Raw genomic sequence first — 14,961 nt, forward strand, 5'->3', positions numbered from 1 at the left:
CTACTAAAAATACAAAAATTAGCTGGGCATGGTGGCAGGCACCTATAGTTCCAGCTACTTGGGAGGCTGAGGCAGGAGAATCACTTGAACCTGGAAGGCAGAGGTTGCAGTGAGCCGAGATCGTGTCACTGCATGCCAGCCTGGTGACAGAGTGAGACTCTGTCTCAAAAAAAAAATTAAAAAAAAGAAAAATCCCAATAACCAAACCCTGGCCCAGACCAATTAAAACAAAATCTCTATACATGGCTTTCAGGCCTCAGTGGTTCTTATTGTGTGTGTTGTATTGGGGGGGCTTTTGAGACCCCCACTCCTAACCTATTCCCAGACCAAACTGAGGGTTGGGCTTCTATATCTCACAGCCCAATAATGAGACACAGATGAACTAGGGAGGAAGAGAGTTTTTATTTCTGTAACTGGTTACAGGGAGAAGGCCTGGAAAATATCACCAGACCAACCCAAAATTACAAAGTCTTCCAGAGCTCATATACCTTCTAAGCTATATGTCTACGTGTAGGTGTGCATTCATCTAAAGACGTAAGTAAGTTATAGTCTTTTAACCCATAACTAAGATCTGAGTCCTGAAGACCTTCCTCTGGAGCCTCAGTAAATTTACTTAATCTAAGTGGGTCCAGGTGCTGGGGTGATTACCCTTATCTTATCTCCTGCTAAATCATGGAGGTTTGGGGGAGTTCCTTCAAACCCCAATAAACTTGTTTGTGGAGGCCTGAGGAGTTTCTTCAGACCGCCAATAAAGCTTGTTTAATCCTAAAAGGGTCCTGTTAAGAATTCCTTCATTATCTTGTCATGCTTCAAGGCCCAGGAAAGGCCTAGGCACAACTCTGGGTGGGCTTTTGTTACATCCCAGCCTTTGTATAAGGGCACTGGCTCTCTTATCTTTTAATATTTAACTTAACCCTTGTAATCCCAGCACTTTGGGAGGCCGAGGTGGGTGGATCACGTGAGGTCAGGAGTTTGAGACAAGCCTGGCCAACATGGTGAAACCACGTCTCTACTAAAAATACAAAAATTAGCTAGGTGTGGTGGCACATGCCTGTAATCCCAGCCACTTGAGAGGCTGACACACAAGAGAATCACTTGAACCCAGGAGGCAGAGGTTGCAGTGAGCCGAGATCATGCCATTGCACTCCAGCCTGGGTGACAGAGTGAGACTCCATCTCAAAAAAAAAAAAAAAAAAAAAAGCAAACAACAAAAACCCTCTCTTGGCTGCTTGCTCTGTGCCTTGAGCAAGAATCCTTCCAGCCCAGGAGTCACTTAGCAGTCTTCAAACATTCTAGTTTGCTTCTCTAGAGTTTCGGTCACATTTCTTTCCTAAGCAAAACACTATATAATTACCGAGTTGCAAAAATCATCTTTCCAAACGCCAAAACGGAGATAAGACAGAAAATAAAAGATGTGAGAGGCAGGCATCCTGGGTAAATCACTCTGGTATTGCAGGGTTGGGATCCCCAGGGTACTATGATGGCTAACTGGAACAGAATGCAGGCATTTCTCCAAAGCCCAAGAGTTCATAAAAGCAAATTAAATATGACTCAATGGATTAATCAAGGGCCACCAGTTGCATTACTGATTACTAACTTTGCAGAAATGAAACACGGTATGTTGGGTCAAGGTTCAGTGAGGCTGGTTTTCATAACATTCCAGGCAATAAACAGGCACACTCATTCATTGATAAATGTTGACAATGACAGGTGGTGACTGTTGATAAGGTTTGATTGCCATTCAGAAAGTTTGTTTGACCTCTTTCCAAGTAACCACGACCTTACCTCTCTCTTTTGAGCTTATCACAATTGGTGACTGTACACTTGTTTCATAGACTTCCCCACCAGACTGTGAGCTCCATAGGGCTGGGCCCCAGGTCGGTTTCACCACCAGGCTCTCTCGCCTAACTCGGCCCACGGGAGGCCGTTTCCAGCTGCTCTGGCTCCATAGCTCAGCCTGGCAGCGGCCACTGGGTGCCCTGATTTGGTCGGCCCCGCCCCACCGGGCCTTACTTCCGGGATGCTTCTGGCGGGAGCAAGAAACATGGTTACATACGACGTAATGCGCCTGCGCACAGTCCGTCCTGCGCCTGCGCATTCCTGACAGCACCTCCCGGACCGGACATAACGGTCCCCGCGCGGCTCCCCGAACCGGAAGTGGAGGTGAGCTGTCGCGGGCGGCGCCCGGCCTTGCTCAACGCCCAGCAGTCCCCACCGTCGCTGCCGCCGCCACCGCCCTCGGCCGCTGCCGAGGCCTCCTGCAGCCATCATGTCCGCCAGCGCCGTCTACGTGCTGGACCTGAAGGGCAAGGTACTGAGGGCTCCCCACCCTCCCTGTTGCCAGGCAACCGGCAGGGGCCTCCGCCCGCGGGGACCCACCCTGTTGCTAGGTAACCGGCTTATGAGCCCCATCCTGGTGTGAGGCAGAGAGGCCGGTAGACCTCACCTGAGAGCCCCATCCTGTTTCTGGGTAACCGGGCGGGGGTCTTAAGTGGGTAATCCCCGCCCTGTTGCTACGTAACGCGGTGGGCTGCAGCCACCGCGTTGCCAGGTAACTGACTGCACCGCCCTCTGCTCCCCGGCGCCGGGGCCGGGGGCTCGGGCCTCGGTGGAGGACCCAGAAGCGGGGCCGCAGCCGGCCTCGGAGCCAGGCAGGGCGTCCAGGGGCTGCGCGACCCTTGGCCGGGGGTGGCGAGGCGTGGCGGGGACTGGGTGCTCTCGAGCCAGTCCCGCCTTCTCAGGGCGTTACAGCTTCTGTTTATCGTGCACTTTCTCTCAGTAGGAATTTCTCCACGTTCATTGTGATAGTGAGTTACAAGGATTAGGTGAGGTGAGTGGTGATCACGAGTGCCGTTTTATAGAGGGAGAAACTGAGGCATGGAGAGGTGAAGCAACCTGACCAAGGTCACAATGGTCACAGAGAAGTAGCAAGTCTAGGAGTCCGATCCAGAATCATTCGTTTATTCAGCTGATATCTGGGGAGCACCTACTAATGCCGGGCAGGGTACTAAGCCTGGGGTCGATTTGTGTTTAGCAAAAAACAGTCCCTTTTTTTTTGTTTTGTTTTTGAGATAGTGTCATGCTCAGTCGTCCAGTCTGGAGTGTAGTGGTGCAATCTCCACTCACTGCAACCTCCGCCTCCCGGGTTCAAGCAATTTTCCTGCCTCAGCCTCCCAAGTAGCTGGGATTACAGGCACCTGCCACTACGCCGAGCTAAATTTTGTATTTTTAGTAGAGGCAGGGTTTCACCATGTTGACCAGGCTGGTCTCGAACTCTTGACCTCGAGTGATCCACCTGTCTTAGCCTCCCAAAGTGCTGGGATTACAGGTGTGAGTCATGTGCCAGGGCTCAACAATCTGTGTTCTTACGGTGTTCACAGGCTGGTAGGGGAGATGGATACCCATCTCCAAAAACACAAATAAATGTCAATTGCAGTGGTGTTGAGGGGCGAGTGTGTTATACAGACAGTCAGCCTCAGCCCGAGGATGAGAGAGGGTTTCCCTGAGGAGGGGTGACAAATGGACCAGAGACACCAGGGAGCTGGACATAAACTAGAACCCAGGCATCTTCCCCAGAGGATCTGAGAAAACTTTAAGAAGGGATTGTCCCCACCTTTTAGAAATGGTCCTCTGCCTTCTCCTAAGTCCATCCCAGGTGCAAGGCAGGTGGCTGCCTGGCCTGTTGCATGTGGAAGCAACAAGAACCGGTCCAACAATGTGAAGCCCAACATTGATCAGTGAGAGAAACAAACATGGGTGTCAGGTCCTAGGTGAGGCGGGCAGGGGTGAGCCCTAAAGCAGCTGAGAGTGAAGAGGTGAAATGGCTGCCCCTTCCCGCCCCACCCCACCCCCAGCACTTTCCTGAAGTCCCTTGAGTGGGTGCCTGCTCTGGAAGCCACCCAAAGTCAACAACTGGTGAGACCCAGTGCTGGGCTTCCCTCCCCCGCCTTCTTGGAAGGAGGGAAGACACCCGTCTTAGAGCACGCCAGGGGCTGGGTGGTGCGGTGGAATGAGTCCTGGTGGAATGAGTCTTGCTTCCACCCTGGCCACTGCCTCCCCAGAGGTGCCAGTGGGCTGCCTGTCTTGGCTTGCTTATTCCTTCAGCAAACATTTCATGAGCACCTAGCATGCACCCTGCCCTATGCCGGGCATAGGGTGTCCATTGGCGCCATGGCTGTGGTGTTAGGGGTGAGCTCAAAACCCATCCCTGCTGCTCAGCTGTGTGACCTGGGACAGGCACCTTCTCCTGTCTGAGCCTCACTTTCCTCACTGGTCAAAAGAGGCTTTTATGGAGTTATTGTGCAGATTTGCTGAGCAGATGCATGAGACAGGCTCAGCACCACCCATGGTCCATGTTAGCTCTCCCAGGCCTCTCGGTCTAGCAGGGGAGTCACCTAGAAGCAGAGACATTACCACACAGTTGGATCCAGGCAGCCACAGGGGCAGGAACAAGGTCCCAAGTCCTGCAGTTGCTCAACCTCATCTTTAGCCAGTGGAAGGGGGAGGTGGTTATGAAAGGCTCCCTGAAGAGGGCGACGCTGGAAGTAGGTTTGGAAGGCACGATCATGTGGAAAAGAGGTGTTGCAAGGGGCAGCCTGCTGGGGCTGCCAAGCCAGAAGTCCTGGCTAATGCTGAGATGGGAGAGAGGGACCAAGGGGACCACTTCAGTTCCAACCAGGAGCCACCGTGAGGAGACCGTAGCCCAGAGAGGCATGATCAGACCTGCCTTTCAGAAAGCTCCCCAAGGCAGCCGTGGGCTTCCTTCCCTTCCTCTGCAACCATGATGCCCTTTCTTATTCCACGACCCACGGACCTCCTGTTTCCAAAGTCAGCCTCGTGAGCCGACTGCATTTAATCAACAATAAAGCACACTGAGAAATTCATGGCCACGTGTCTGGTCACCGAGGACACCAGCGTGGCCACACTGGGCTGGGAGGAAGCTGTCCTAGTAGGAAGCTTCTCCGCTTTATCTAACTGGCTTCTCAGCAGCTTCTGACACCACTAACCACCTCCTCTTCAGTGCTCCCTTCCGCTTCCAGGAGGCTGCGCTCTGGGGGGTTTCCTCCTGTTTCTTGCACTGCCTACTTTCCTCCTTTTCTGCCCTCCCCAGGGCTGTGGAGCGGCTCAGGCCTACGCGTGCCTCCCCATGCTGTCACTCTTCCCAGGTGGGCTTTGACTCATGTCCATGGGCCAGTGACTCTCAATTTTGTTCACAGCATTTCTCTGGAGATCTAGTGGCCTCTGAGACACCAGAGAGGTCCCGCCGCCACCATAAATTCAGCATTCTTCTAAATGCACTCCCTGTACCTGCTCTCTTTCCATTTCAGTGATGCCATCACCCATTCAGCCATCTGCACAAGAGACCTGGACGTTATCCTCGCCTCCTTTGTCTCCTCACCCCTGTTTTCACTCCACAAATGTTTACTGAGCACCTACTATGGTCCAGGCCCCTTTCTGGGTGCTGGAAAACAGCTGTGAATGAGACAGGAGTAGTTGCTGTTCTCAGGGGATGTCAGACAGTAAAGGAGGATAGAAATAAATGTTTAATGCACCAGGTGATAGGGATAAAGCAGGGGTCAGGGTTCAGAGGGATGGGACATGATCTCAGCCAGAGCAAGCAGGGAGGATTTCTTTTTTTTTTTTTTTTTTTTTTTTTTTTGAGATGGAGTTACGTTCTGTCAGCCAAGCTGGAGTGCAATGGCACAATCTCGGCTCACTGCAACCTCTGCCTCCCAGGTTCAAGTGATTCTCCTGCCTCAGCCTCCCAAGTAGCTGGGACTACAGGCATGCACCACCACGCCTGGCTAATTTTGTATTTTTAGTAGAGACAGGGTTTCACCATATTGGTCAGGCTGGTCTCAAACTCCTGACTTCAGATGATCCGCCTGCCTCAGCCTCCCAAAGTGCTGGGATTACAGGCGTGAGCCACCGCGCCCAGCTGGGAGGACTTCCTAGAGGAGGTGTTATTTGAGCTGAGGCTTGAGAAATGAGAAGAGCCAGGTCAGGGCAAAGGCCCGAGGTGGGAACAGATGTGGATCACTCAGAGACCAGCTAAGGGGCCAGGCTGGAGCAGAGTGAACCAGGGCAGCGCAGGCAGAGAGGCGTCAGAGGGGCTGTGAGGAGCCAGACCACGCTGGTCCTTGGGAGCCATGGGGACGGGCTTGGGCTTTGTTCTCAGTGCCGGGGAGGCTGGGGTAAGTGGCAGTTCAGCAGTGGGGGAGAGACCCCGTCTGGCTTCTGTGTAGGAAGAGCCCTGTCACCCTTTGTGAGGAAGGACCTGGGGGGTCAAGAGTGACAGCAGGGGGAGGGGCTGTTCCCTCAACACGTCATCACCTGCCTCCCTCCAATCAGTTCCACAGGCCACGAAGCAGACACTAGGAAAGGAAGGTGCCACCCCGCACCACCCCCAGTCTCGCCTTGAGAGAATAAAGGCAGCGTGTGATGAAATGCCAAGTTCTGAGGCAGGTGGTTCCCAGGATGGTCAGCGCCGCAATGGCCTTCTCAGCATGTTGCTGAGTCCTGCAGCTGGCTGTCCTGCAGGCCCCAAGAGCTGCAGCTGCTCCAGGCAGCATCTCCAACCGCAGCCATGCCCAGGCTAGCAAAACTTCCGACCTCCTTTTTATTCTTTAATGAGGTATAATTTACATTAATAACCTGCACTTATCTAAAGTGTACAATTTGATGAGCTCAGTCATGTGGGAAGCCATAACCACACATTCCATCGCCCCCGAAAGCTTCTTCACACCCCTTTGCTGTCTAGCCCCATCCCTAGGCACCCACCGATGTGTTTTTCATCACCATTTTCTAGGATTTTATACACGTGCAGTCATGCAGGATGAGCTCTCGTTTGTCTGGTTTCTCTCAGCCAGCACAGTGATTCTGATGCGCCTGTGTATCGGGAGTCCGATCCCTTCCGTTGCTGAGGCATGCTTCTCATGGTGTGCACGGATACAGTTTGTTTCTAGTTCACCTGCTGAAGGACATTGGCATTGTTTCTAGTCTGGGTCTGTTTCAATTAAAGCTGCTGTTAAGATTCTCGTGCTAGTGTTTGTGCAGACATGTGGTTTCATTTCTCTTGGGTAAATACCAGAGAGAGGAATGACTGGATCGTATGGTAACTCTGGGTTTCACTTTTTGAGAAACTGCCAGACTACACCAAAGTAGTTGTCCCATTTTCCATTCCTATCAGCAGTGGACAGGGGTTCTGGATGCTGTATATCCTGACCCACAGGCTATGAAAGAGAGAGACCAGGAAGAGGGCTTCTCCCTTCAGGCCACCTGTGGACTTCAGTAAATACGAACCTTCAGCGGGAGTGGGCGCCCTGACACAGGCGGGAGAGCAAGGTGCGTTGGCCCGGCAAAGGCTCTGAGAAGGTCTGCATTGAGAGCTTGTGAGGCATTGCTTAACCTGATGTCTCTGGGTGATTCAGTCCTGGACCTTTGCTGCAGAGTTCGCCTCTACCCTCACCCTGCGAAGAACTGCAGTGGCCCCTGTGGGCATTCACACTGGGAGATGCTCTTCTCCAGGAATTCCCTGGGGGATGGAGATCAGAACGGCCTCAAGTCCTGCTCTTTTGCGGATAGTGGCCATGACCGGAGTCCCCAGAGCGAAGCAGGGTGGTGCATCTCACCCCCTGCCCCAAGCCCCCAGATTGTAGAACTGAAAATGCAAGCATCTTTTCTCTTCCTTCCCCACCCCAGGTGCTCATCTGCCGGAACTACCGTGGCGACGTGGACATGTCAGAGGTGGAGCACTTCATGCCCATCCTGATGGAGAAGGAGGAGGAGGGGATGCTGTCGCCCATCCTGGCCCACGGGGGGGTCCGTTTCATGTGGATCAAACACAACAACCTGTATCGTATCCCTTTGCTGGGGGTGCTCCCAGGGGACTCCTGTGTGGGTGTTGGTGTGTGTGCATATCCACACGCCTGCAAGCAGGGCTGGTTTGTGCACAGCGCAAGCATTGGACACAGCCATGCCCTCCTGGAGCTCCCTGCTGCCTGCGGAGACAGGCAGACAATGCACGATGACATGTGTGATGGGTGTGGGGAGAGGAGCAGGTGTGACTTGAACCTCTTCAGCCCAGGGGCCCAGGAAGGGAAATGACACCCTGGAGGAAGCCTGCAGGGAGGCCTGGCTTCTGCCAGCTGGAGGGGTGGGCAGGCACTAGGCGTGGGTGAAGGCTCTGCAGGGAAGAGCCTCATTCCAACAGCTGCACTCGGGGTGGCTGGAGAGGGGGCGTGTAGGGCAGCGAGGCTGGAGTGGTCAGCGGGGTCTGGGGTCTCAAAGAACATCATCTGAAATGTGACAGGAAGTCTCTGGAGGCTTTTAGATGTGTGTCTTCTGGAGGTTTCTGGCTGCTGAGTGGGGCAAGACTGTGGGGACAGGAGAGGACATGGGTAGGTGGGGAGTAGGCTGGGGCCATCGTGCAGGTGGGAGGGGAAGTGGCCTGGACCACGGAGGGGTGGTGGGGTACAGCCCCGCCCAGATCTCAGAGCCCCCCACCCTTCCTGTCCTTGGGCCCATGGGGAGACTTGGCCAAGCCAGTTTCTATCCAGGAGGTCTAACTGGCCACCCCACAGCTTTGGGCAGACCCGCAAGCCCATCTCAGTACCCACACTACTGCGGAAGGGCCTGCTTTGCCACTCACAGCCCGTTTGAGCCCCAGCTCCAGCAGCCATGGGGGATCCCTCACCTTCCCACAGTTCAGTGGGAACAACGACCCCTCACTGCAGGACCATTCGGGTCAGTTGAACTGACTTGTGCATATTGCTCCCAGCAGGCATGGGCTCTGTGCCCTTTCCTGTGTTCTTGGAGACACTTGGGGCCTTGCCAGTACAGTGTGGCCAACGGGCCAGAATATCCGCTGGGAGCCCTTTGGAAATGCAGAATCCCAGGCTCCACCCAGCCCTGCCCCGTCAGAATCTGCATTGTAGGAAGATTTGTTCCTGGTGGCCGGTGTGCACATTCCCATGTGGGCCGTGCTGGCCCAGGGCTCCCTGTGGTGTGCCTCTGTGTAGATTTCACCTGGCTCTGGAAGGCCCTGAGAATAGCTCTGAAGATGATCTTAGGTGGCTTTTTTTTTTTTTTTGAGACAGAGTCTCGCTCTGTCGCCCAGGCTGGAGTGCAGTGGCGCCATCTGGGCTCACTGCAAGCTCCGCCTCCCGGGTTCGCGCTATTCTCCTGCCTCAGCCTCCCGAGTAGCTGGGACTACAGGCGCCCGCCACCACGCCCAGCTAATTTTTTTGTATTTTTTTAGTAGAGACAGGGTTTCACCATGTTAGCCAGGATGGTCTCGATCTCCTGACCTCGTGATCCGCCCGCCTCAGCCTCCCAAAATGCTGGGATTACAGTCGTGAGCCACCGTGCCCGGCCTAGGTGGCTTTTAACCCAGGGAACTGACAGTCCTCTGAAGCCGCCCAGGTATTGGGAGAGGGAGAGGTGGCTGTGGTCTGAGCTCAGCAGGAGCCATCAGATCAGTTTCTGGTTGGGCCCCCACATTTCACACCTGGGCATCTAGGGAAGAGACAGGGAGGGCTCACCCCTCTGGCTTAGTGGACATCGTTTCACCCCCAGCCGGGACAGTGCTCAGCAAGGCCGTGGCTGAGAGGCACCCATGAGAAGGTGAGAGGCCCCCACTGCCCCTGCTTATAAAGCATCTGGGGAGGGCACATTGCCAGGCAGCAGGAGGGAGGCCAGCACTCGTTTGACTGGGCCAGCGTCCCTTTCCTGGGCCCCTGTGCTGTGCTGGGGTGAGGCGGGAAGGGAGAGGATACAGCCCCCACCCTCCCTCCTAGAGCTCACTCCTGGGCAGACGAGCCAGGCAGCACAGATGTGCCATGAACAGGGATGTCCAGGGTGCAGTGCATGGGCCTACAGAGGAAGAACCAGCCTTCTCTGGCGGCCCGGGGACCCATTAGGGAAAAAGGAATAGGAAGCGCCCAGCACACACTGACCCTGGGAGGCAGGGGCTGGCTCCTGTGGCAGAAGGGAACATCTGTGCCAGACATCTCACCTACATTGCCTTGGTGAGTTCATTCACAGGCCTCCATTACACAGGAGAGAAATATCAAGGTTTCTCTAGAAAGGTTTATTTCATGGGCCAAGGCTTGTGTTTCCAAAGCCAGGAAGGGCTGAAGCCAGAATTGGCCCTGGCTGCTTGCCACAGAGTCTGGCCGGGGGACCCTGGACCTCAGCAGGGTCATGATGAGGTCAGCTTTGGAGGAGCAGGGCCAGTGTGTCCTGCTTTCTGCTCCTGGAATGAGCCTCACTCCCTCCCTGCTCAAGGCAGCCCTTCACCCAGCCGCCGGGACAGGTGCCCTGTGCCACCTGCCATCCCTGTGATTCTCCATCTCAGTGAGTGCTCCCTGGGGCCTGGGAGCGCATCTGGCTGGTGACTCCTGTGTCCCAGGTCTAGCTTGGACCAGGAGCTTTGTAGCCCACCATGGGCCAAGTAAACGGCTGGGAGTGGGGATAGGGAAGGCTCTGAGGGTTGTGAGGGTTAGGGGGTCCCTCCATGAACCAGGATCTTCCAGGCAGCAGCCCCAGCCTCTGAATGCTCCTTAACTGTGGCCGCCATGCAGTGGTTGCCACATCCAAGAAGAACGCGTGCGTGTCGCTGGTCTTTTCTTTCCTCTATAAGGTGGTGCAGGTGAGTCTCGCTCGGAGGGGCCGTGGGCTTGGGTGGAGGTTGTCTTGGCTCTGCTTGTGGACCTCCCCATACCTGGCCACCCTACAGAGAGCTGTGGCATCCCCAGGGAGCACTGGGGCTGGAAGCCCAGGAAGTGGGAAAGGGGAGTCCCAACTCCCCACGCCTGTGGAATTCTATAGCTCACGTTGCTCCCCTACCGTGGGGAAGAAAGGAAAGTGAACAGGAAAAGGTAGGGCTCAGAGCAGGGGTGCCCTGACCCTGGAAGGGACAAGCAGGGGTCAGCGAGCTTTGGAAGGATGTGGGGTGACCAGCTGGATGGGGCTGGAATAACCAGCAGAGCTGCAGAGCTGAGCCCACCTCAGAATCTCCCAGGGGGCTCTCAAGGCACAGATGCCTGACGCCCACCTTGGAGAGAGCTGACACGCCAGGCCCAGGCTGCCAGTGAGACACAGATAGCAGCCAGGGTGAAGGCGCCAGGACAGGTGTATGTGTGGTGCAGCTAGGGAGGCCAGCGTGCGTGTGGCAGAGTATGAGGCTGAGGTCAGCTGGGAAGAGGGCGGATTATACAGGAGTGTGGATTTCATTCCACTTCTGATGAAAGGTAGTGGAGGGCTTTAAGCAGGAGACTGACAAGACGTGGTTTGATCTAAAGCAGCCTCTCTGGCTGCTGAGCAGAAGGAGGACTTGAGGCCAGTGAGGAGGCTGCTGCTGGCTTCCCGGAGAGGATGGGCCTGGCCGAGGTGGGCTGTGGGGCTCACGAAAGTGGGGAACAGGACCCAGGAGGCCTGTGCTGGGCCTGGGAAAGCTTTCATCCCTCACTGATGCTGCCTGTGCAGAATGTTGGGGAACAGGGGCAAGCCTGGGCGGTGAGGGCTTGGGGAAGGAGCCGAGGGTCACCTGGGAAGGCCCCACGTGCAGGCCAAGGGCTGCCTTCACTGGACCGGTGATGCTGTCACAGGCAGGGCTGGGCCTGGCTGTGCTGCCTGTGGTTTCCAAGCAGAGGCCGGGTGATCACAGTCCTGAAGCGCGCAGGGGTCAGCAGATCAGAGAATGGGGGATGCGGGAAGGGGAAGGTCCTCACCCAAGGGTTGGGCTGTGCCTTTCTGTTTTAGTGACGCTCCTTCCTTCAGCATTTGTGCCTGCAAAAGTGCTTCTAACAGCCCCTCTTCTTTGGCGTCCCTTCCTTAACCTTCTGAGCTTTCCATTGAAATGGGGAAGATGCATCAAGCTTTCCACTGAAATGGGGAAGATGGCAGCTCATCAGGTCCTTGCCTGAGTCACTCCAGACTCAGAAAGGGATGACAGTTACAGTCGCTCAGGAGGGGCTGCCTGTCTGCGGGTGTCTGGGCAGGGAAGAGAATGGGAACGCAGAGCTTCTGAAGGCCTCGGGACATCTGCAGTGGCTCCAGCCTGGCCCCACCCCACAGCCAGCCACTGCTGTCCTGCCCCATAACCTGGGTCCAGGGCCCTGTAGCACACCACCGAGCCTGGGAAGTAGGCTGTTGGTAGGACTTAGCGGGCAAATGAATGTGTGCAAGCGTTCATTCATTCCTCATCCGTCCGCTCAATGATCTGCCTCCCATTCCTCCCTCCCTCCCCAACCGCCACAGGTGTTTTCCGAGTACTTCAAGGAGCTGGAGGAGGAGAGCATCCGGGACAACTTTGTTATCATCTACGAGCTGCTGGACGAGCTCATGGACTTCGGCTACCCCCAGACCACCGACAGCAAGATCCTGCAGGAGTGAGTGGGCAGGGGTGGGGCCTGGGGCCAGGCCTGGGCGGTGTCATGACATCGACGTCATCAGGTGTGGAAACAGAAGGGGCAAATTTGTGTTCATGTTGTCCCCCACCTGCCTCCCACCTCCAGCAGTATTCGGGTTTTTACTAAGTTGCTCTTAGTGGTTTTAATTCGTTTCCTCCTCTACGCCCCCACATAACCGTGCTTTTCCTGCTCCTCATCTTTACTCTCCATCCACACAGATGCCTTCAGTACCTTGCTACTAAGGAGTCACCTCCCTTGTTTTTACTGTCATAAAATGAGACTGTGATCGAAATCTCCCCTCTTTGGAATCCTGCCCTTCAGATAAGAAGCAATGTGAATTAAGTGCTTCCTGGGGGCCGGGCCCCAGCACTTCACATTCACTCGATTCACAGCCTCCCCGTATACCGTCTCCCCATTTTACAGGGGACAAGCAAGCAGACTCCCAGAGAAGCCTGTGTTCCTAACCGCTGCACCTCCTGCTCCTTCAGCAGGATGGGGTCACCAGGTTACACTCCGAGGCGTCAGTTCCATCCACGTGCTCAGCAGGGACGGGAAGCAGCTCACACCCACTTCTTGTTTTCCTTCCCAACATGGTCTTCTTGGTCCCCCAAAATGAGCACTTCAGCCTCTATAACTTGAGTGTATTGGCTTTTGGAAATTGTGAAGATTTTTCTGTATGAAGCAGCCCCAGGTGAACCAGAGGCTGCCTTTTCTGGAGCTGCTGAAATCCAAGGGCTATTTTCAAGTCGGTCAGAACCTGCCCTGTACCCCCCACCCAACCCTGCCGAAATGTCAAGGCCAGAAGCTGTGGCGTTGGTGCGGGTACCACCTCCTTCACTCTGAGCGTGTGGCCCCACAGGTACATCACTCAGGAAGGCCACAAGCTGGAAACAGGGGCCCCGCGGCCACCAGCCACCGTCACCAACGCGGTGTCCTGGCGGTCCGAAGGCATCAAGTATCGGAAGAATGAGGTGTTCTTGGACGTCATCGAGTCTGTCAACCTCTTGGTAGGCCTCTTTTCTTTCCTTCTTCTGTAGGGTTTTATCTCTTCCACGATAGAAATAAACACAGCATTTTAAAACTGGCAAAGCCCCGAGAGCCGTTCTGTGTGGTAACAGATAGCAGGATTCAGTTTGGGCCACTCATTGAAATGTGAGTTTGTCTTATCTTTTTTTTTTGAGACGGAATCTCATTCTGTCGCCCAGGCTAGAGTGTGGTGACACGATCTCGGCTCACTGCAACCTCCGCCTCCCAGGTTCAGGCGATTCTCCTGCCTCAGCCTCCCGTGTAGCCGGGATTATAGGCACCCGCCACCACGCTCGGCTAAAGCTTGTTTTCTTTATTAGCATTTATGCTGACTGAGAATCCATACATGCACATTATTTTTAAAAATTAGAAGCAGGGTATGAGGTTAGAAAGTGAAGGGCTCTTATCAGTCACCATGCACAGAAAAAAAAAAAAGAAACTAAAGGGCTCCTATAATCAGAAAGATTAGGATTTATTCACCGTCACCCTCTCGGGCCTCATTCTGTAGACAGACAGAAACAAGTATATTGATTTTTCTATAAACCTGAGATCATAAGATGTGGTTCTCCTGCAGCTTGTTTTTTTGGTGGTGGTTGTTGTTTGGGTTTTGATTTTGCGTTCAGTGTTACTGTTTTGTATATTTTTTTCTTTTGGTTTTTTAATTATGAGGAAAGTTGACGTTTTGAAAATGAATTTTAGCGCTTGTACAGATTTGTGTACCCATCACCACACCCAGGACACAGAACCTCAAAACCTCCTCATGTTGCCCCTTTGTAGCTCCATGCTCCCCTCTTCCCCATTTCCTGGCCACCATTGAACTGTTCTCCATCACTGGAGTCTTCATCGTGTTGTGATTGTCACACGAGTGGCATCATATGTCACCGCAGCTGTCTTTCTGAGATTGTCGTATGAATGGCGTCATACAGTCATGAGCTCTCGAGTCTGGCTGCTTTAACTCATTCTAATTCTTTGCGATTCATCCAAATCCAATTGTTTTGCATATCAAAAGTCTGTTCCCTTTTATATTTATTTATATTTATTTTCTGTTCTGAACCACAGAAGGACATTTGGGTGGTTTTCCAATCTTTGGCAATTGTCAATAGAGTTGCTAGAAACATGTCGTGTCCAGGTTTATGTGTGGACATAAGTTTTCATCTCTCTAGGGTAAATACCCAGGAGTGGGATGGCTGGGTCACACGGTAAGTGTATGTTTACCTTTATAAGAAACTGCCAAACCATTGCTGTTTTGCATTCTCGCCAGCAACAGATGAGGGTTGTGATGACCCCACATCCTTTGTCAGTAGTTTTATTTTTGTCATCCTAATAGGTATGTAGTAGTATGTCAGCACAGTTTTGTGTTTTGTTTTTGTTTTTGTTTTTGAGACACAGTCTCGCTCTTGTCGCCCAGGCTGGAGTGCAATGGCACTATCTCCATTCACTGCAACCTCTGCCTCCCAGGCTTAAGCGATTCTCCTGCCTCAGCCTCCCGAGTAGCTGGGATTACAGGCACCCACCACCAGGC

At 53.9% G+C, this 14,961-nt stretch overlaps 1 protein-coding gene across 2 annotated transcripts in view, besides 2 other annotated features; it reads left to right on the forward strand.

Annotated features, from left to right (window-relative positions):
• The first annotated feature begins 2,153 nt into the window (after positions 1 to 2,153).
• Positions 2,154 to 14,961, forward strand: part of AP1M1 (adaptor related protein complex 1 subunit mu 1) — a 47,996-nt gene continuing 35,188 nt past the window's right edge. Inside the window, exons 1-6 of one of the 2 annotated variants that reach the window (NM_001130524.2) lie at positions 2,154 to 2,311; positions 7,702 to 7,858; positions 10,584 to 10,651; positions 12,262 to 12,392; positions 13,273 to 13,420; positions 14,603 to 14,638. In NM_001130524.2, coding sequence (NP_001123996.1) covers positions 2,270 to 2,311; positions 7,702 to 7,858; positions 10,584 to 10,651; positions 12,262 to 12,392; positions 13,273 to 13,420; positions 14,603 to 14,638 — 582 coding nt within the window. In that variant the 5' untranslated portion in view covers positions 2,154 to 2,269. The remainder of the gene's footprint in view (positions 2,312 to 7,701; positions 7,859 to 10,583; positions 10,652 to 12,261; positions 12,393 to 13,272; positions 13,421 to 14,602; positions 14,639 to 14,961) is intronic. The other variant, NM_032493.4, reaches the window with a different exon arrangement.
• Positions 2,298 to 2,537: a silencer, noted in NCBI's record as "silent region_10292". NCBI's record gives its function as "represses an Ori minimal core promoter by ATAC-STARR-seq in GM12878 lymphoblastoid cells {active_cell/tissue: GM12878}" and the evidence as "EXISTENCE:reporter gene assay evidence [ECO:0000049][PMID:35858748]".
• Positions 8,671 to 8,820: a silencer, noted in NCBI's record as "fragment chr19:16315239-16315388 (GRCh37/hg19 assembly coordinates)". NCBI's record gives its function as "represses an EF-1alpha promoter that drives an FKBP-Casp9 reporter gene in an ReSE screen in K562 erythroleukemia cells {active_cell/tissue: K562}" and the evidence as "EXISTENCE:reporter gene assay evidence [ECO:0000049][PMID:32094911]".

The sequence above is a fragment of the Homo sapiens genome, chromosome 19, assembly GCF_000001405.40.
Source record: "Homo sapiens chromosome 19, GRCh38.p14 Primary Assembly".
NCBI lineage: Eukaryota > Metazoa > Chordata > Mammalia > Primates > Hominidae > Homo > Homo sapiens.